The 22,017-nt window shown below is 48.8% G+C and overlaps 2 annotated features.

Annotated features, from left to right (window-relative positions):
• Positions 17,341-17,440: an enhancer, noted in NCBI's record as "active region_3288". NCBI's record gives its function as "activates an Ori minimal core promoter by ATAC-STARR-seq in GM12878 lymphoblastoid cells {active_cell/tissue: GM12878}" and the evidence as "EXISTENCE:reporter gene assay evidence [ECO:0000049][PMID:35858748]".
• Positions 17,471-17,520: an enhancer, noted in NCBI's record as "active region_3287". NCBI's record gives its function as "activates an Ori minimal core promoter by ATAC-STARR-seq in GM12878 lymphoblastoid cells {active_cell/tissue: GM12878}" and the evidence as "EXISTENCE:reporter gene assay evidence [ECO:0000049][PMID:35858748]".

Raw genomic sequence — 22,017 nt, 5'->3', positions numbered from 1 at the left:
AGTTCCAGCCACAGGGAAGGAAGGCAGTTCAGGTGTACAGCCACAAGGCTGCACTTGCTGGGGCTCTGGCCTGCAGAGGCTCCCAGGGCAGGGAAGGCAGGAAGCACAGTGCTGTGGTGAGTGGCAGAGAAGGCCTTCGATCCACAGAAAGGAAGAAAGAAAAGAAAAGGATTAGCCAGGCCAGGCACGGTGGCTCACGCCTGTAATCCCAGCACTTTGGGAGGCTGAGGCTGGAGAATCGCTTGAGCCCAGCAGTTCCAGACCCACCTGGGCAACATGGTGAGACCCCATCTCTACCAAAAAAAACTCAAACAAACAAATTAGACAGGTGTGGTGGTGTGCACCTGTGGTCCCAGCTACGCAGGAGGCTGAGGTGGGAGGATCGCTTGAGCCAGGGAGGTGGAGGCTGCAGTGAGCTGATTGCTTCACTGCACTCCAGCCTGGGTGACAAAGCAAAACCCTATCTTGGAAAAAAAAAAAAAAGAAAAGAGAAAACAAGAACTGCAGAAATAGAAAGGAATAAGCAAAAAATCATCTAAACAAGAAGAGGAGACAAGAAGTGCAGGGAAAAATGACAGAAAACTGTCCACTCATCCGAAACCCAGGTGGTGTCCCTGTACCAAGTCAGACTGTGACCTCCATGCTCCAGGGCCGGCTGTAGGCAGGCTCTGAATGAGGAGGAGTTTTCAGAGAAGAACATCTCAAAATGGAAATATTTCAAAGACCAAACAGTGTAAAAGCATCTCCAGGAAGACCTGGGCTTCAGACCCCTACTGAAGGGGTCCCAGGCCCAGGCTTCCCCTGGTGGGGGGTGGGTCTCTGAGGCAGCACTTTTTCTCCTTTTCATGGAAATATTATGGTCCTAGAATAGAATCTGGGCCTGAAGAGGGGCCTCCCCTGGCCTCCAGGGGATGGACCACTTTAGTGTAAATGTAATTTTTTCAAGAATAGTTTTGTTTTATGTTATTTTAACACTCTCCAGGGCAATCTGCTGCACACTCCAGTGTGGGCAGCATTCATCCTAGCAGTTCTACCAAAGGGATCCGGGTCTGAGGACTTGTAGTTCATTATGGCCCTCCTGCTGGGGCCTGACAAAGGCGCAGCACCAGCATCCCAGGCGGCCTCAGGATGGAGCTGTGAGGACGCGGGATCCCCAAAGGTTAATGAAGTTCTCTCACAACCTCTGCAGCGAGGACATTCTCTGTCAGGAGAACCAGCCCTGGATAACTCCTTGTGCTTGTCCTAGTTCTGAGCACTTGGTACTTTAACTCATTCAATGCCTACAACCACCAGTTTTGAAAAAGTGAGAGGAAGCCCAGGGACGTGGAGTCACTTGTCCAAGATTGCACAGCTAGCGTGTGGCCAACCCAGCATCTGAAATCAGGCGCTGTGAGTCAAAGTCCAGCCCCACCCTCTGGCTCCCGGGACTTCTGTCACTTGTGCTCTCTGGGGTCCACTTCCTCATGCTGCCACCTCCGCCGGTCTCCCCAGGTGACGGGGAGGGTCAGCATAGCCAGTGCTCAGCCTGAACCCAGGCTCTTCTCTACCAAAGCAGATTGAGGGGGGGTGGGGGCAGCGAGTGAGTTGATGCCAGATGTTTGTTCATGGTGGCGCAGGGGGTTTAGCTCAGGCGCTGCTGGGTGGGCAGCAGACGCAGGCTCATCCCTATCTGCCTCGCAGAGGGCAGCACTGCCCCCGAGGTCACAGAGGTGGTCCTGCCTTCCGACACCATGCCGTTCTTGCTGTTTCCATGAACTCTCCTTGGCTTTCTCTGGCTGGCTCTGCTTTCACGCTGTTCTTTCCAGAACGCTTGGCTGACGATCGGCAGGGCAGGAGGTGAGGAGTACTCAGGGCCAGTGCAGCTGCCAGTGAAGCCCAGCTTCTTCTGTCCTGAGACACCTCCAGCCCCAGGCCATCCCCTGCCTCCCTGGCCCAGAGCCCCCAGCCCCTCCTCAGCCCCCCTCCCGCCTGCTCCCGGAGGTGCGCACGCCTGTCCTCCTGTTGTCTCAATGCCCTGGGATGCCCTGGCTAAGGCAGGTTTTCTGTCCTCCTTCCAGAGCACTTCCAGGCTAGCAAAATGGCAGGGACATCCTTTCCCCAGGCTGAGCCTGTCCTGTGCACCATCGGCCTAACCCCTGCTGAAAGCTGGGCTGTCCAGCACGTGGCCCAGCTGCCCTGAGTGTTGTCATCATGATGAGTAGATATCCTCATCACCGGGACCTGGGCTGTCTGACAGTGAACTGATTCCATGTCCAAGCCCCTGACTGTCTCCCCATTGGACCTGGCCAGCAGCTCGTGGCTGAGTAAAAACCTCCTCCCCACCAGTTGCCAGGCCGCCGGCCGCCAGTCTGATCGTGGGAGGCACCAGGTCTGATCTGCGCTGCCTCCTCTAGGGTCTGAGGGGCCCATTAACAGTCCTCAGAAGCAAGTCTACCTCGAGGACCAGTCCGTACTTGAGGCCCATGGAGCCTGGTTTGTGAAATCGCGTTCATGCTGGTGTGCAGGATAGGTGTATTCAGAATTGTGTGTGTAGGTGACAAAGTGCATTTTCTGAGACAGCCAATTTGTTCAGCTCTCCAAGGGTCCATGACCCCTGGTGGGTTAAGAGGCACCTATTGGAGGAGACCCATCCTGCTCTGGAAGGCCTGAGACAGACTCTTTCTGGGTCCCATTTTGCTCCCATTCCCAAAGGGGCAGCATCTGTGGGGAGCCTCAGGCCTGGGCTGGGGACGAGGGTGTGGGAGGCAGGCCAGGGCCCCATGGTCTTCTGGGGCTCACTTACGGACCTGCATGAATCACTGAATGCCCCCTACCATAGCTTCAAGGCTCCGTGAGGGGCACTGCTGTGGGTCGGGGTGGGGGTGCTGTCAGTGAAGGGCCAGGTCTGTGCCCGCTGTGGTCCTGGGATAGCCAAGACAGCGTGGTCTGGGGCTGGTCCTGCGTGTGATTTACCCTCAAAGTGGCAGACGCGGGGAAGCATGCTGGCCAGAGCGCCTGTCCCTTGTTCAGTTTTCTTTGGAACTCACCCAGGTTCGCTTCATTGCAATCTCTTGTTCCTGGGCAACTGGACTCAACCATTAGGTGATTTTTTTTGGAGCAGAAACCACAACAGGCCAGGCATCTGAAATGGAAGCCTTTCTGTCTTGATGTTCCTAACAGTGCCGGGGCTCTGGCAGGAGCTGCTCTTTGCACTGGGCTGTCACTGAGCTAGAGCCTAGAAGGTGGCAGGGAGCTGGTGGAGCCCAGGTGCAGGCAGCCTCACTCTCACAGGCCTTACAGGACCCTATCGCTTTCTTTTGCTTTAGACCTACCTGATGACTGGGATGCTGCAGATGAGCTGGGGTGGTGGCATCCCTGTAGTCCAAGCTACTCAGGAGGCTGAGGTGGGAGGGTCACTTGAATCCAGGAGTTTGAGGTTGCAGTGAGCTAGAGTTGTGCATAAGTTTTTTGAAGAGACAGGTTCTTGCTGTGTTGCCCAGGCTGGTCTGGAACTTCTGGCCTCCAGCTCAGCCTCCCAAAGCACTGGGATTATAGGCGTGAGACACCATGCCCAGCCCAGTGTTTGATTTTTTTTTTTTTTTTTTTGAGAGAGAGTCTCGCTCTGTCATCCAGGCTGGAGTGCTGTGACTCAATCTCGGCTCACTGCAACCTCCACCTCCCAGGTTCAAGTGATTTTCATCTCGTGCCTCAGCCTCCTGAATAGCTGGGAGTATAGGTGTGCGTCACCATGCCTGGCTAATGTTTGTATTTTAGTAGAGGTGGACTTTCACCATGTTGGCCAGGCTGGTCTCGAACTCCTGACCTCAAGTGATCTGCCTGCCTCGACCTCCCAAAGTTCTGGGATTACAGGCGTAAGCCACCGCGCCTGGCTCAGTGTTTGAGTCAAAATGCTGCTGTGCAGGTGCTGCCCTGCAAATGATCCCAAAATGATCATCCAGCAAGGGAAGCAGGGGAACTGCACGGGGGCTGAAACACCCATCCTGGATGGCACTCAGCTGTGGGGAACTGCATGGATCGTCCCCTCACTGGCGGTGTCCTCTGACCACGGGGGGCGCCAAGGCCGAGCCCACGGCTTAGCATCCGCACCAGTGGCCATAGCTTTGGGGCTGCCTTCCCAGAACAGTCCTGCTTTCTAGGAGACAACTTCATCATTCATTCCAGCAACTTCCAGAAAGGCCCATCAACTCTTCGGTAGAAAGCAGAAACAAGTTTACTCCTAGGGCTCTCTGAACCCTCACCTTGCTGTGTTTGCCACTTCTAAATTGCTGTGTTGTGACCCTTACCCTAATCCTAACCAGCCCCACATTGAAAGACCCTAAACCAGACTTCATAGTCTCCCAGACATCTCGGCCCTGCCCTTCTGCCACCATGCGGCGGAGGAGCGTCTGCCCTCTCGGGTCCATCCTACAGAGAAAGAAGGAGAACAGGGGAGAGAGGGAGGGGCAATGAGAAAGAAAGAAGAAAAAGGGAATAAAAGGAAGAGAAAGAAGGAAACAAAAATAAACAGCAGTAGATCTTTCTTTCTTTCTTTCTTTTTTTGAGACAGTCTCGCTCTATCATCCAGGTTGGAGTGCAGTGGCACAATCTTGGCTCCCTGCAACCTCTGCCTCCCAGGTTCAAGCAATTCTTCTGCCTCAGCCTCCCCAGTAGCTGGGATTACAGGTGCCCACCACCATGCCCAGCTCATTTTTTTTTTTTTTTGAGACGTAGTCTTGCTTTGTCTCCCAGGCTGGAGTGCAGTGGCGCGATCTTGGCTCGCTGCAAGCTCCGCCTCCCGGGTTCACGCCTTTCTCCTGCCTCAGCCTCCCGAGTAGCTGGGACTACAGGCGCCCACAACCACGTCCGGCTAATTTTTTTTTGTATTTTTGGTAGAGACAGGGTTTCACTGTGTTAGCCAGGATGGTCTCAATCTCCTGACCTCATGATCCACACGCCTCGGCCTCCCAGAGTGCTGGGATTACAGGCGTGAGCCACTGCGCCAGGCCCATGCCCAGCCAAATTTTGTATTTAGAAACTTGGTTTCACAATGTTGGCCAGGCTGGTCTTGAACTCCTGAACTCAGGTGATTCTCCCACCTCAGCCTCCCAAAGTGCTGGGATTACAGGCTTGAGCCACCGCGCCCAGCCAATAGTGATATTTCTTTTTCCATTTTAGAGACAGAGTTTTGCTGTGTCACTCAGGCAGAAGTGCAGTGGCGGGATCATAGCTCACTGCAGCCTCGAACTCAAGTGATTCTCCCACCTCAGCTCCCAAGCAGGAGTAGCTGGGACCACAGGTGCAAGCCACCACACCTGGCAAATTTTTGTATTTTTTGTAGAGACCAGGTCTCACTATGTTGTCCAGGCTGGTCTCAAACCCCTGGCCTCAAGTGATCCTCCCACCTCTGCCTCCCAAAGTGCTGGGATTACAGGTATGAGCCACTGCGCCCCGTTGACAGTAGGTATTTCAGATGAGTTCTATGATTGTTTTTCTATGTATGATGTAAGCAAATTAAAGAAGTAAAAAATAATTGCCTAATATAAAACCGTTTGGAGGAATTAAAATTTATTTTTTCTTATCCTTTCCGGTGTCTGTTAACACAACAAATAATTTTAAATAATCTAAGAGCTCATAAGCAAATCTTTATGCTTCTCAAATATTAAAAAGAAATAAAGATGGGAAAATCCTGAAACTACATCCAGCAGAGGAGAATGGACTGTAGTCGTGTCTGTGCTGGTTTGGAAGGGATCATGTCATCCCTAAGGGTAATTTGAGAACAAAATCAAGATTTCAATGAAAGCTGTTCCTCTACTCTGAATGTCTCTTTCCATGTCAACATTGGAGCACTGGGGTTTATGTAAGGAGCATTTCCTAAAGTTAATACCTGAAGGAAATTTATGAGGTCATCTCAATGTCTGAACATGTAGCATCACCATTTACAGTGTGGCAATTTCCACATCAGGTCTATGTGGTGAACATCTGAGAGAAACCTGAAACGCCACAGAGTGAAACATGTAATGTGGCTCTATGTTGGGAATTTAGGCGACTGACACTTTTTTCTACCTTTTAGTTTCTTTGTTTTTTCTAATTTCTACAATCAACAAGTATTACGTAACAGACACTAAAAAGGAAAATGAGAAGGAATTGGCAAAGGCCATCAACAGACAGCTCAGAGCTAGAAATGTGCATTTAGGCCTGGCGAGGGCTCAGCCTGTGATCCCAGCACCTTGGGAGGCTGAGGCGAGAGGATTGCCTGAGCCCAGGAGTTCAAGATCAGCCTGGGCAATATAGTGAGACCCCATCTCTACAAAAATATTGAAAAATTAGCCAAGCATGGTGGTGCATGCCTCTGGTCCCGGCTACTTGGGAGGCTGAGGGACCTCAGCCTTGAGCCCCTCCTGGGCACTTGAGCCCAGGAGGGAGAGGTTACAGCGAGTTGAGATCGCACCACTGGACTCCAGCCTGGGCATCAGAGCGAGACCCATTCTCAAAAAAAAAGGCCAGGGGCGGTGGCAGGTGCCTATAATTCCAGCTACTCAGGAGGCTGAGGCAGGAGAATTGCTTGAACTTGGGAGATGGAGGTTGCAGTGAGCCAAGATCACGCCACTGCACTCCAGCGTGTGTGACAGAGTGAGACTCTGTCTCAAAAAAAAAAAGAAAAGAAAAAACCAAAATACTGAAATTCTCTTTCTTCATTCTCAGAGGAATGGGTGTCTCTTTACATAATACCCAGGCTAAGAGACAGCACTGTGAGCCTGCTCATCGTAAGTATACATGAAACCTTCCCAGTGAGGCAGAGCACATACAGGGGTGAGAGACAAAGGGAGGGGCTTGAGAATTTGTAAAATTCTTTTTGTGGCAGAAAAGAAATAGACAACTGTTAAATTTATGAAACAAATACAAGTAAATAAATGTAAGTGTGGATCTTAAGGACAACCGCCATAAAAATAAACATAGTGCATTGCTGCTGGGCGCAGTGGCTCACACCTGTAATCCCAGCACTTTGGGAGGCTGAGGCAGGCGGATCACTTGAGGTCAAGAGTTCGAGACCAGCCCGGCCAACATGGCAAAACCCTGTCTCTACTGAAAATATAAAAATTAGTGGGGTATGATGGCTCATGCCTGTAATCCCAGCTACTCAGGTGGCTGAGGCACGAGAATCGCTTGAACCCAGGAGGTGGAGGTGGCAGTGAGCCAAGATCGTGCCACTGCACTCCAGCCTGGGTGACAGAGCAAGGCTCTGTCTCAAAAAAACCTACAAAAAAACCCAAAAAACCAGAGTACAGTGCTTTTAAAGTACCACAAAAAAGCCCTCAAAGCATGATCTATCTGGTGGATGCATGAAAGAAAAACAAAGAGACAAAACCTCTTTGCAAACTACATTTATAAGGGAACTTCCTTTTCTTGTTAAAGGTTATCTACCAAGACCTGCAACTGCCACATTTAAGACTTTAGGAGCATTCCGTTTAAAATCAAGCACGGGATCAGATGTGCACATCACTGTGCCATAGTTAGCCGCAGTTTGCAGGTGTTGTAATCATGTATGGAGAACACCTACCAAATGAAACAGCTGTCTCCTGCGTTTTGCTCTGGCATACCATGAGGCTCCCCCTTCATCGGGGACCCCTGCCCCTGTGGGCATGCCCAGGCTGGCTTTAGGAAAGGAGGTGGGACAGACTCAACACCGTGGTTGTTCCCACAGCAGGAAAGTGTTTGTTTCCACCTCCGTACCCTAGGGGATTCCTAGAGGCAGCATGAGAGGCAGAAAGATGAGCTCCAAACATCAGCTTTTCTATAGTTAATATGTGTTTAATACCCTTGGTGTCAGTACCTAAATAGCATACGTGTGTGTATCACACATTCTCCCTCTTTCTATGCATGCGCAAACACACTCCTTGACCAAAACAGGGCAAAACAGAATTGGAAAAGTGTCCACTCAGGACACTGCATGTTGTGGGCCGTTCCCTCTCTCAGGTTTTGCGTCACAGAGATTACTGGGAAACCACGTGCGCTGCTTGGGTCGGGAGGATGGGACCTTTGGATTCCATCCCATCCATGCAGTGAGCACACAGCCATGTGAAAGAAGCCTATTGTCAGTGAGCATATTGCTAAGAAAGAAGTGTTAACAGGCTAATTTATCATCCAAGCACAATTATTTGAGTAAACAAAATGTTAATCCATCAGGCCAATTGTGAGACTGAGATGTACAATTGCCAAAGAATTATTAAATAAGCCACATGTGACACATAAATACGAAAAAAAGATTGGAGTAGAACTTGGGAATGTCATAATTTCTAAATCAAAGATTAGTTCTCAATTGAAAAAATAAGAGGGAATGTAAGAGTTAAGCAGAAAGCAGAGTTTCCATTGTCAACTCTGTCCACCATGGGCATTTTAAACACGCAGATGCCCAGGGCCACACCTGGAGATGTCAGTGCAGGACAAGGGACTGGGCTGGGGAGCAGATGTCTCATGGTCTTTCCATTGAAAATAGTGACACAGAGCTGATATTTCCTTTCCTCTCCAGAATCAGATCTGAAGAGTATGACGATCTCCAGGTGCACAAGGGGAGGTGTGCTGACCAGGGCAGGGGAGGGCAGGTTCAGAATGGGCTGCAGGAAGAGGGGCATTCTGCCCCCCAAATTAAAACACCTCTTTTGCAAGTTCAGGAATGGGTGCAGCTGCCTTCTCTGAGAGGAAGAAATCAGTTGCAATTAAAAAAATATGCCACAGCATGGACACCCCTTTAAAAGGTCATGCTAAGTGAGAGAAGCCAAACGCAAAAGGCCACATATGATCTGATTCCATTTGCCTCAAGTGCTGAGAGAAGGACATCCACAGAGACGGAAAGTGGTGTCGCGATGGGGTCAGGGGCTGATGGAAGTGTCTGAAAACTGGATTGTGGTGAGCGTTGCTCAACTGCATGCATTAGCTAAAAATTATTGATTTACACCTAAAATGGATGAATTTTTTTTTTTTGAGACAGAGTTTCACTCTTGTTGCCCAGGCTGGAGTGCAATGGTGCTATCTCGGCTCACTACAACCTCCGCCTCCTGGGTTCAAGTGATTCTCCTGCCTCAGCCTCCCGAGTAGCTGGGATTACAGGCATGTGTCACCACGCCCGGCTAATTTTGTATTTTTAGTAGAGATGAGGTTTCTCCATGTTGGACAGGCTGGTCTTGAACTCCCAACCTCAGGTGATCCACCCGCCTTGGCTTCCCAAAGTGCTGGGATTACAGGCATGAGCCACTGTGCCCGGCCCAGTTTCTTTTCTTTTCTTTTTGAGATGGAGTTTCACTCTCATTGCCCAGGCTGGAGTGCAATGGCATGATTATTTGCTCACTGCAACCTCCACCTCCCAGGTTCAAGCGATTCTCCTGCCTCAGTCTCCCAAGTGGCTGGGATTACAGGCATGTGCCACCACACCCAGCTAATTTTGTATTTTCAGTAGAGATGGGGTTTCACCATATTGGCCAGGCTGGTCTCGAACTCCTAACCTCAGGTAATCCACCCGCCTCGGCCTCCCAAAGTACTGGGATTACAGGCGTGAGCCACCATGCCTGGCCAAAACTGGCGGAATTTTATGCGGGAGGGAGGTGAAGAAGCCCCCTCCCAGGAGCAGGTCAGGCGCAGGTGAGAAGTCCCAGCATGGCTGGCAGGGCCAGTGGGGAGGCTCCGTGGCCCAGCAGCTGGGTCTGCGGGGGGTTCTGCTGCCCCTTGACAGACCTTTCAGGAGGCTCAGCCTCGTCATCACCATAAGCTAGGGTGATGGCACTGCAGGCTGGCAGGCTACACTAGAGATGCAGCCCTCCTGGTGAGGAATGGGGTGACACCCTGCCCTCAACCAGGAGCAGAGGGCCCTGTCTGGGGGCTCCTAGTGTGGCCCCAGAGTGCCTAGGGGCCACAGAGTCCAGCAGCGTGTGGAGCCCATATGCACACTCAGCTTTCCTAGTGACAGGTGAAGCCAGCTGGACTTTCTGGGTCCAGCAGGTACTTGGATAACTTTTCTGTCTAGCTAGGAGGATTGCAAACGCACCAATGAGCACTCTGTAAAAACGCACCAATCAGCGCTCTGTGTCTAGCTAAAAGATTGTAAATGCACTAATCAGCACTCTGTAAAATGGACCAATCAGCACTCTGTAAAATGGACCATCAGCAGGATGTGGGCGGGGACAAATAAGGGAATACAAGCTGGCCACCCCTCCCAAACCTCTGCCTCAGCCTCCAGAGTAGCTGGGATCACAGGCATGTGCCACCATACCTGGCTAATATTTTTGTTGCTGTTGTAGAAATGGACTCTCCCTTTGTTGCCCAGACTGGTCTCAAACCCCTGGTCTCAAGTGATCCTCCCACCTCAGCCTCCCAAAGTGCTGAGATTACAGGTGTGAGCCACTGCGCTCAGCCATATAACAGTTATTAACCAGAAATTTCACATCCTTTTTTTTCTTACAAAGCATTCAAAATGCAGTGTGTATTTTACCCTCCAGCACATTTCCATTTGGGCCAGCCACGTTTCAAATGTCCATCAGCTGCCTGTGTCTCTTGGTCATGGTAGTGGACAGTTGTGGTGGTTCAGTCAGGCTGGTGGGAAAAATTTTAGTTATAATAGCTACAAACCTTCTTGGAAGGCCTCAGAGTTCGCATAACTTCAGTAATAAATCTGACTGAAGGCAGCCTAGTCCCCTTACCTTTAGTTAAATAAATTAGGGTAGAAACAAAGGAGTGTAGGGAGTTTATCTAACAAACTTGTTTAATCATGTGGTCTTAAGACTAACCTTTGTTATACTGAGGGTGCTTAATTGCTTTCTACTTGGGAGGTCCGCAATGTCAATTACCCTCTAGTGGTGTTGACTCAAGCCTTTGTCAATTAATCTTTACTGAATAAATGCGAGTCTCACTAGCTGTTCTGGCCGCAGTGGCAACTGTTTGCGGCACTTTGCATGTAGTCTGTAAGCTGCCCAGACGCTCAGCTGGACTGGCAAAGCAGAGTATCTGTGTATCAGTGTACTTTATTCATCCATCCTTGGGTCAGGGTCTGCGGGACAGACCCCCACAGCCGGTGCCCCCACGTGATGAACACTGGGAAGGAAGCAGAACGGACCCGAGAAAGGAAGGTGAAAAAGGAAACACGTGGTCAGTGAGTAATCAGTAAGTCATTGGTGCCCACTTGGGATTTCCAAGTTCGGGGGAGATTGTTCATGCTGAGATTTCATCATGGGACAACAGTTATCAGCTCAACAGAAACAGTATATAAAAGTGTTGAAACAGTTGCTAAAGGCTAGCAGACCATCAGTTTTGCAGGCTCAATTAAAGGACTTAATGCAAACTGTTGAATCCCAAAGCCCATGGTTCCCTGAAAAAGGCACACTAAACATGAAGCTGTGGGAACAAGTGGGGAGAAATATTTATTTATTTATTTATTTATTTATTTGAGATGGAGTTTCACTCTTGTTGCCCAGGCTGAAGTGCAATGGCACAATCTCGGCTCACCACAACCTCCGCCTCCCACGTTCAAGCGATTCTCCTGCGTCAGCCTCCCGAGTAGCTGGGATTACAGGCATGTGCCACCACGCCCAGCTAATTTTGTATTTTTAGCAGAGACGGGGTTGCTCCACATTGGTCAGGCTGGTCTCGAACTCCCGACCTCAGGTGATCCGCCCACCTCAGCCTCCCAAGGTGCTGGGATTATAGGAGTGAGCCACCGCGCCCGGCCTGTGGGGAGAAATCTTAAACAACATTATGCACAAGGGAAACAGGTCCCAGTAACAGCTTTAACGCTATGGGCTTTAATTAGAGCAGCCCTGCTTCCATTATACATGCAAGAGCCTAAAAAGGGGAAAGAGGAGGAACTGTCACCCACCTTATCGCCTTGTGTTCCCTCAGCCCCAGTATCACCGGGGCAAAATAACAAAGAGGAAAGGGAGGTTTCACCTGAGCCCCCTCCTCCAATAAGTAGGAAAAAAGACAAGAAACATGCTCCAGCTATGGGACCTTGTCTTAGGCAAGCGGCATTAAGAGGGCCCTTAGTCTGCCCGTAATGCAAGATCGGCAAGGCAATCAGCTACATAAGGTGTTAAGAAAAGGCATTAGAGGCCCGATCCCGGGGGCGGGGGCGGGGGCGGGGGCGGGGGGCGGGGAGCGGTGCGGCCGAGCTAGCAAGCATTAAGTAGAAGGGAAAGCTCCGCGGCCAGGAAGTTCGCGAAACCGAAGCCAGCAAGTGCTCCCGGGAACTCTGCACCGAGGGCGGCAGCTGCAGCAAAGAGCCAGGCCCGGCGCGGAAAAGTTAGCCTGTTAGGGCGGGGCAGGAGGCACGCGGGAAAGTCTGACTAGCCAGCGGCGCCCGTGGGAGGAAGTCTCACAGGCGAAAATCAGCACAGAAAAAAGGGGCGCCTTTGCAAGCGGTAACGCTGCCGCTGCCCCAGGACCCGCCTCCTCAGCTCTCCAGCTCCGCAGGCGGCCCACGGCAAAATTTCGAGTGCTCCTTGTAGAGGAGCGACATCCCAAAGTATAATTCTATGCTAAGATTTAAGTAAAATTTAAGATTTGAAAAACCTCTTTCTGATAATGGCCACTGTTCTCTTTCTCTTACCCCTAGCGTGACTCTCCAAATCCAATTTAAGCAAAACTAACCTCTAAAGGGGGAGAAATTACAAAAGTCCCATGAGTTAGTTAAGGAGCAATTAAAATCAAGCTCTGCTCCCTAGTGAAAAAAAATTTCCTGATTGCAAGATTATTCATTTTATGGATAATATTCTAACAGCCCTTAAAATTCACCCATTTTCGTCATTCCCAAAAAGTCTAGTAAATATTTTACCTACAAAAATAGTTCATTCCCCCCTACCTGATGCTTTAACACTGTTTACTGATGGGTCTAGTAAACAGAAAAGTGGCAGTCTAGTACAGACCAAATTCAATCACTCAATCTGTTTGCTAGCAGAGAGCTGAGATTAGGGCTCTGATACTGGCCTTAGAAACTTTTTCAACTCAGCCCATCAATATAGTTAGTAATTCTGCTTACTCTGTGTATTTACTACAGAACCTTGAGACAGCACTAATTAAGTCTACTCTGGAGCCAGCCCTGTGTGCTCTTTTTCTTTGACTTCAGCAATTGCTAGATCAACATATACATACTATTTTTATTACACACATTCAAGCCCACAGCTCACTGCCTGGCCCATTGGCTTATGGCAATGAACAAGCAGACCTTCAGGTTATGACATCACTGCTTGACCAAGCCACCCAATCACATCAATTTTTCCACCAAAATTGGACAAACTTATCTAAACAATTTCAACTTACACAGAGACTGGCTAAACAAATTATCCTACAATGCCCAGATGGCCAGCTCACAGGCATGTCCCCTCCTTCAACAGGTGTTAACCCTAGAGAACTAGAACCTAATCAGTTATAGCAAACAGATGTTACCTACATCCCTAAATTTAAAAAACTAAGATATGTGCGTGTATCCATTGATACCAACACTCATTTAATTAGTGCACATGCTCTGCTTAGAGAGTCCACTCGATACGTCATTAAACATCTTTTAACTGTTACATTTATAAGACAACCCGCAAAAATTAAGACTGATAATGGTCCGGCTTATGCCACCTCACAATTTCAACAATTTTGTCACACGTGGAATATCCAACATTCCACAGGCATCCCATATAATCCCCAAAGACAAGCAATAGTAGAATGTGCCCACTCCACTGTTAAAAATATGCTCAAAAAACAAAAAAGGAGGAGTATGGGTAAAGACCCTGCAACACTATTGGCACAAGCCTTATTTACCCTTAATTTTAAAAATTTAGATGACAAATTTCATTCAATCAGCTGTAGAAAAGCACTTTGATAAAACCTCTCAAGGCATAAAACCAGCAGTTTTATGGAAAGATGTGAACTGTAATGAATGGTGTGGTCCAAATGAATTATTAACGTGGGGAAGAGGGTATGCTTGTGTCCACACCCCCTCAGGTCCTCTTTGGATTCCAGCATGATGCATCAAACCATACCATGGTGTAGCTAGGACCGAATCCGGTACCAGAAATAAAGGAGTTAACCCTGCAAGACCCACAGCCCTGGACAATGTGGCTTCCGCGGATGACGTGAGTCCTGGATGTTACCTGGGGGATGCTGAAGAGGACAATTCAGGAGGCTGAATGAATCCTGCTCCAGACACAAACACCATTTACTCCAGATAATTTATTTCTTGCTATGCTTTCTGTTGTACATTGCATCTCATATAGGGTATTAATCCTTTTTATGCTCTCACTTTGTCTGCAACCTGTACCTGCTACTACACTGTATTGGACTCATATCTTAGACCCACCTTTCTTTTGCCCTGTCACCTGGGCAGACGCTCCCTTCCCAGCCTATAATAACGTGACTGCTTAGTTAGGAGGAATAGATTTACCGCCAGTGAGGTCCCGCAATAATGGCACACATTGGACTAAGATGCCAGATAACATTACATATCACTCCACTATCCTCCCACTGTGTGTAAGTTATAAAGGCTCTAACCCTTACTGTGTACCTGCCCCAAAACAAGTATGGCTACATCACTGTGAAGGAAATGCCTTAGCATTCTTAGCTGCAGGAAGCCTCAAACTGGGCAATGCAATCAACACCGCTTTCCCAAACATTCCTTCCTGTGCTAAAGAACAAAGCCAGGAAAGTAATGGATTCCACTTTAGCTGGGAGGTCTGTCACAGGAGACAAGCCCATAGCCTCCAGTTAGGCAATTATAACATCTTAGACTGGTGCCCCCATGGCCGATTGTAGGGCAGCCTTACTAATGTCTTCATCCATCACAGCATCAATCACAGTTTCAAAGCCACGTCTCGTTCCCCTATAATTTGGGCTGATGGGGGGATGAGATATCCCAGACCCTAAGTAAAGTCCATGCCACCCCAGTGAAACTTATGGCACCTGGGACATCTTAGCACCTCCCTTAACACCTGGCATGGGACATGTCATAAATCCAGTCGCAACTATACCATAACCTTTATTCATAATCACACTGATCAGTGCCTGATTTGCTCTACCCATCCATATGTTTTCCTTATGGGAACTAACATTTCCATTACACCTCAAAACTCCACGTTTGTGACCCGGGTGCAGGGACAGGCTTGGTTTGCCTCATGTATCACCACAATATATCTAATTTAAAAATTACTAGTGTCGTGATATTAAGGAGACAATCTGAGGCATTCCTACCAGTCAATCTGACTCATGATTGGCAAGGTTCCTCTGTCCTTGTCACCTTAGAATGTAGAACGTACCCTATCCCACGTCAGACACAAAAGATTCATAGTTACACTTATGGCTTTTATAGTCTCAGCCATAGTCATCCTGGCAACTGCTCGCGTTGCTCTCGCATCTATTACTGAGTCAGTACAAACAGCTGCCTTTGTAGATAATCTGGCCAAAAATGTGTCTAATGAAGTCTTACAGCAAGGTATAGATCAAAAAATTCTTGCACGTCTGCAAGCCCACAAGGCAGCTTTAGAATACGTGGGGGAGCGACAAGATGCACTGGCATTCCGACAGCAATTAAACTGTGACTGGGAGCATAAACATATCTGTGTCACTTCTCTACCATAGAATCAATCTATACATAGTTGAGATGAGGTGAAACAACACCTCTGGGGAACCTTTCATGACAATTTAACAGCAGACATAAAGCAACTTAAAACAAAAATTTTAGAATCCCCTCACACCATAGATCTACACACCCAACAAACAGCCATATGGAAAGGTGTGCAAAATCATCTCTCCTGGTTAGACCCCCACTCCTGGAGGTCACTCTGACTGGAACTGAATGTTGCAAATTGTACTCATGATTGTTTTATGTTATTTGCTAATTCTAGGATGCAAAGCTGGAATAAGAGCAATGACTGCCATGCCCGACAAACCTGTTGCTGCACACATCTGCAGTCTCCAATGCAAAAGACCTGATGCAGAAAACAAAAAAGGGAGAGATGTGGGGGTTCAGTCAAGCTGGTGGGAAAAATTTTAGTTATAATAGCCACAAACCCTCTTGGAAGGCCTGAGAGTTTGCATAACTTCGGTAATAAATCTGGCTGAAGGCAGCCTAGTCCCTTTACCTTTAGTTAAATAAATTAGGGTAGAAACAAAGGAGTGTAGGGAGTTTATCTAACTAACTTGCTTAATCACGTGGTCTTAAGACTAACCTGTGTTCTACCGCTGGTGCTTAATTGCTTTCTACTTGGGAGGTCCACAATGTCAATTACACAATGTCAAGTGTAGAAAAATTGGATGTTTCAAAAAAGAACACCGCCAGACCTCTGGGCAGAAGGGATCTTAAAACACGGTTCCCCTCTCCACAGAAAAAACATGAGGACTTTGCCCTCGTTGCAATAAAGGAAATCATTGGGCTAATCAATGCCACTCAAAATTTCATCAAAATGGCACGGGAAGCGAAAAGGGGACCTGGACCCAGGCACTTCAAACTATGAGGGCATTCCCCGTCCAGGCCACAACTCCGTTTCAGGGGTGGGTTTCCAGAGGCACATTGATTCCCTCTCCTCAGGAACACCTGGAAATGCAGGATTAGCTCTCCTAGAGAAAAAATTATGTTAATTGAAAGAAACAAACTCACTAAGATTCCCGTTGGTATTTGGGGACCTTTGCCAACAATATACATGGGACTGATTTTGGTAAAAGCTATCTTAACTTAGAGGTCCAGGAGTTGTTGATTTTGATTGTGAAGGAGAAATTCAGGTAGTGGTAATGTCACAAGATCTTTGGGTTTTTGAACCAGGAGAGCGTATTGCTCAGTTGTTGCTTATTTCCTGTAAATTGTACCCTTCTCTAAGTAAGAAGTAAGGAGATCAGGGATTGGGGAGGTATAATTAGGAGATAAATTTATCTATCACAACCCATAGCATCTCATAGACCCAATTGTGCAGTGTACATTGAAGAAAATAAGTTTTGTGGGCTTATGGATACAGGAGCAAGAGACTGGTCTCTTGTGGTAATAGATCTTGAGGATTGTTTATGAGAAGGATAAGCCTCGATTTGCTTTTTCCGTGTCTTCTGTTAATCAGAAAGAGCCTGTCTTTCATTATCAGTGGAAAGTTTTACCCCATGGCAATTGACTAAAGAGGCAGAAGCTGAGTTACAATTGCTTCAGCAGTGGCATGCCTCCTGGCTACAGCCACAAAAACCTTTGCTTTTACAGATTTACTAATGTGGGGTCGAGGGTATGCTTGTGTTTTTGCAGGAGATGAACAAACCATGTGGGTGCCGTCAAGATGTGTGCAACCATGGAAAGGGAGACTGGAGGGACCCATGGATTCCAACTACAGGCCTGGTTCCCCCAGTATGAGCAATGAGCCAGTTGAATCTGAATGCGAAAACAGAACGAGGACCAACCAGAGTCACGCTGACACCAACCCCCGTGACATGGGGACAGATCAAGAAAACCACACAGGAAGCTGAGAAACTGCTGGAGTGCCAGGGTTTTACCTTGTGCTGGAACTCAGAGGTACAATCCATCGATTGTACCTTAATGGACCAATGCTTTCTGACTGAGCTCCTCTCTACCCTGAATACAAGAGAACCTAATAGGCAAGAATATTTTCGCCCCTGTTCAGCATGAAGAAGTTGCAGAAGAGAGACCTTCATCTTTCTGCAACCCTTAGGATTAAGGGTCCTCTTGTTAAAGGGAAGGGGGAAATATGTAAGAAGCATTCAAACCAGAGCAACTCCATTTTGAATAAGGGCTAAGAAAAATGAAGCTGGATCACCAACTCGCAATTAAGGGCTGCACAGCCTGCAATTGCCTTGCTCAATTAATTTAAAAACAAAAAGGAGGAGATGTTGGAAGCTGCACAAATGTTTCTTATGATTAGACATAATTGAAGCTTGTTAGTAACAATATGAACCTGTGATCAATTAAGCATCTGACCAATCATTACCTCCTCCTCCTTGCTGTTGTTACCCAATAAATACGAAGGGCTGTAGAAGCTCAGACGGCTGCCTTTGCTTAATACAAGCAGAGAGCCCTTTTCTTCTCTTCTCTCTTCTTCTTCCCCATGCTAGCCTTTCCTTAAAATAGTTACTTTTGTCTTTTATCATTTCTACGTTCGTCTTGTAATGACAGTCTCAAGCAGTAACAGTAGTAACTACTGTAATGACAGTCTTAGGCAGTAACAGTAGTAATTGTTGTAGTGACAGTCTCAAGTAGTAGCAGTGGCAGTCGGCCACAGATCATCACCCAAAGGTGGCTGGGATTCTGGTTCCAGCCAGCGAGGCCCAGGTTGGACGTATGAGTCTGGACCTGATAGCACCCACACTGTGTCTGCAGTGCCAGAGAGGGACAGATCACAGAGTAGGTAGATGCAGAGGGAGGCACGGAGCCGAGGACTGAGTCTTGGGCACGCCAGTGGGAGGTGGGGGAACCAGGAAAGGGGGTTGAGGGGAGGGAACAGGGCAGGGGTGTCCTGGGACAGGTTAGGAGGCCGAGGAGGGGCTGTGGAGGAGGAGGACATAGGGGAAGGAGGGGCTTAGGAAGGCAGGGGTGAGCCCATACAGATAGGTCATGATAGGCTACGTCATCATAGAAAACTAAGGATTAGTTTCTAGAATTGGCTGCTGTGGGCTGGGTAATCCCACAGGCTGTGGGATCACGCCTGTAATCCCAGCACTTTGGGAGGCCAAGGTGGGTGGATCACCTGAGGTCAGAAGTTCGAGACCAGCCTGGCCAACGTGGTGAATCCCTGTCTCTACTAAAAATACAAAAATTAGCCAGGTGTAGTGGCGCATGCCTGTAGCCCCAGCTACTCGGGAGGCTGAGGCAAGAGAATCACTCGAATATGGGAGGCAGAGGTTTCAGTGAGGCAAGATTGCAACACTGCACTCCAGCCTAGGTGAAAACAGCGAAACTCCGTCTCAAAAAAAAAAAAAAAAGAATTGGCTGTCATGGAGGCCACTGAAGCCTTACAAGACCAGTTTTGGTTGAGGAAATGATTTGGAATAGATTCAAGAGTGATGGGATGGGAGTGAGTATAGACCATGAAAGTAGATGAATTTTTGAGCATATTTTCCTGGAAATGGGAGCAAAAAGAGGCACAAGAAAAATAGAGTCGAGAGAGTATTTTAAAGGATTTTTTTGTTTGTTTTTAGAGACAGGGTCTTGATCACGGCGCACTGCAGCCTCCGTCTCTCAGGCTCAAGCGATCCTCCCATCTCAGCCTCCCCAGTAGCTGAGACTACAGGCGCATACCACCATGCCCAACTAATTTATTATTAGCAGAGATGAGGTTTCTCTATGTTACCCAGGCTGGTCTTGAACTTCTGGGTTCAAGTGATCCTCCCGCCTCAGAGGGTGTTTGCATCACTATCTCTGGCAGAGTCTCCATGTGGCCTCCCCAGCATGGTGGCCTCAGGGCAGCCAGGCTTCACACCTGCAGTTGATCCCAAGGCGCCTGCCCCAAGAGAGGCCCACGACAAAGCTGTGTGGCCTTGTGTCTCAGAAGCCATACGCTATGAGTTAAGGCAGTTATTGAGGGCCACCCAGGTCAAGGGGTGGGGACTTGGACTCCACCTCTCGATGGAGGTGTATCCAGGTCATACCGTGGAAAGAGCATACGTGACCACCTTTGGAAATGCAATCAAGAGCTCCTAGATCAATGTGCAGCCTAAATCACAGTCTATTCAAAACCATGTAGCCCATCCTGCTGACAAGTTCTTACTTATGTCCTCCCCAAATGCCTCTTTCCCTAACTCCCATCTTCAGTCCAATGTGGCTGTTGAGGAGGGGTGGAATTATTCCCACCTGCAAAGGCAGATTTCAACTTTTGGGGTCTGAGGGATCTGAATTCCCACTCCTGTTCTGCCACCTATGCACTGAATGGCCTTGGGCAAACATCCTACTCTCCCAAGCCTCAATTTCATCATTCTAAAAGTGTGGATGATCATGATATTCCTTTTTAAAACATAAACGTTTATTGAGCACCTACTATTATAGGTTTTTTTTGTTTGTTTGTTTGTTTTTGAGACAGGATTGCATTCTGTCGCCCAGGCTGGAGTGCAGTGGCGTGATCACAGCTCACTGTATGTAGCCTCAACCTCCTTGGCTCAAGTAATCCTCCTGCCTCAGTCTTCCGAGTGGCTGGGATTACAGGTGCGTGCCACCCACTCAACTAATTTTTTGTATTTTTTGCAGAAATAGGGTTTCACCATGTTGCCCAGGCTGGTCTTCTCCTGGGCCCAACCCATCTACCCACCTCAGCCTCCCAAAGTGCTGGAATTACAGGTGTGAGCCACCACACCCAGCCAGGAGAGGCAAAATAAACATGTTCCCACAATGATGCCCATGAATCTCTAAGACAGGGAACTTGAGTCAAAAGCAAGAGTTCAAATCTTTGGGACAAAGAAAGAGAAGGTTTGGCTGGGGAAGAAGAGTAAGAAGTGTTTCCAGTGCACTGTCACCAGTGCCACAATCACGTAAGGACGGTTAAGTCAAGCATGAAATTAACAGGAGCAGAAATCTGTGTTCCTTCCACTCAAATCTCTGTGGCTGGGCTTCACGTTTGTTGAGATAATTGTCCCCCATGAGATTACCCTGTGCCTCCAAGGAGACACTATTCTCATTAACGCTAGGTGGAGTGCAGGCTTCCCCAGCAGTACCAGCACAACAGTCTCTCACCAGCTGGTGGTCTCTCTCCTCCAGGGTAAGGCCACGAAGATGTCTCTACCTCTCCTCGTAAAAAGCCCAGCCTGACTCTTACCAACCTGCCCATTGCTGGGACACCTGTGGAGGAGCCTGGGGCAGGAGTGGGGACACAGGACTTCTCTATGTGGCTGCGCCCTCCCCCCCATAGGCTCTACCTACTTCACCCACTCCTGACCAGTGCACCCAGTCTATGATCCCTCGGCCATGCCGTCTACCTCTACATGCCTTAGGCTTGTACTAGCTGGCATGGCCTCTGCCTGCATATCTAAGATGGGATCCTTGACCTCATCAAATGAGGCACCTGCAAAAGTTCATCATTCTGGAGAGATTTGAAAGATATGTAATGATATTATTTTGCACTGAAACACAGGCCTGGCGTGGTGGCTCACACCTATAATCTTAGCACTTCGGGAGGCTGAGGTGGGAGGATTGTTTGACACCAGGAGATCTAGACCAGCCTGGGCAACACAGTGAGACCCAGCTGTACACAAAATACTAGTTAGCTGGGTGTATTGATGTGCTCCTGTAGTCCTAGCTATTTGAGAGGCTGAGGGCAAGAGGATTGCTTGAGGCCAGGGTTCAAGGCTGCAGTGAGCCATGTTCATATCACTGCACTCCAGCCTGGGTAACAGAGCAAGATCCTGTCTCAAAAAAACTCCAAAAACAAAATCCCCAAAACAGAAAATAAAAAAGAAACACAGCCAGGAATGCAATGTTACTTGGTTTCTCTGGGTCTCCGGATGTATGGATTAACACCTTCCTGTGAGGGGTGAGAGGAGGCGGAGGGGTGCGGCCTGCTGGACACTGGCACAGCTCCCAGCCTCATGACCGCCCCCTCCACTGCCCGCCCCTTTCCATTCGGTGGCTCCCAGCCACTGCCCTCGGCCCGGCCATCCCTTGCCCTTCCCTGCTCTCCTCTTGAGGGACTGCTCTTTCTTACTCACTTTGCTGGCACAAGGCCCTCTTCATCCCTGAAGGGGAGATGGTGAGGGGCCCACACTTACCGCCACTCGCTGTGTCTGACACCAGCCCACTCAGGCTAAGACGTGCTGCTGTAATGAAGGGGCCCAGATCTCAGAGACTGTGACCCAGAGGACTATTTCTTACCCACATGGACCGTCTACTGCGAGTCCCCTCAGCCGGGGCCTTAGGATGCAGAAGCCACAAATGGGACCTGCAAGGCTTGTGGGAGGTGAGGAGTGAAGGGAGCCCAAAATCCGGCCCCTCAGCTCTTCCTGGGGGTGCCCAGGCCATGGCCACTCAGACCTCCTTGCCAAAGCTCATCCCATCCCCAGCCTGCTGTCAACAGGGGAGGCAGGCCCCCAATAGCCGGGAGG

The sequence above is a fragment of the Homo sapiens genome, chromosome 10 (genome assembly GCF_000001405.40).
Source record: "Homo sapiens chromosome 10, GRCh38.p14 Primary Assembly".
NCBI lineage: Eukaryota > Metazoa > Chordata > Mammalia > Primates > Hominidae > Homo > Homo sapiens.
This window is presented reverse-complemented; position numbering and strand designations above follow the sequence as displayed.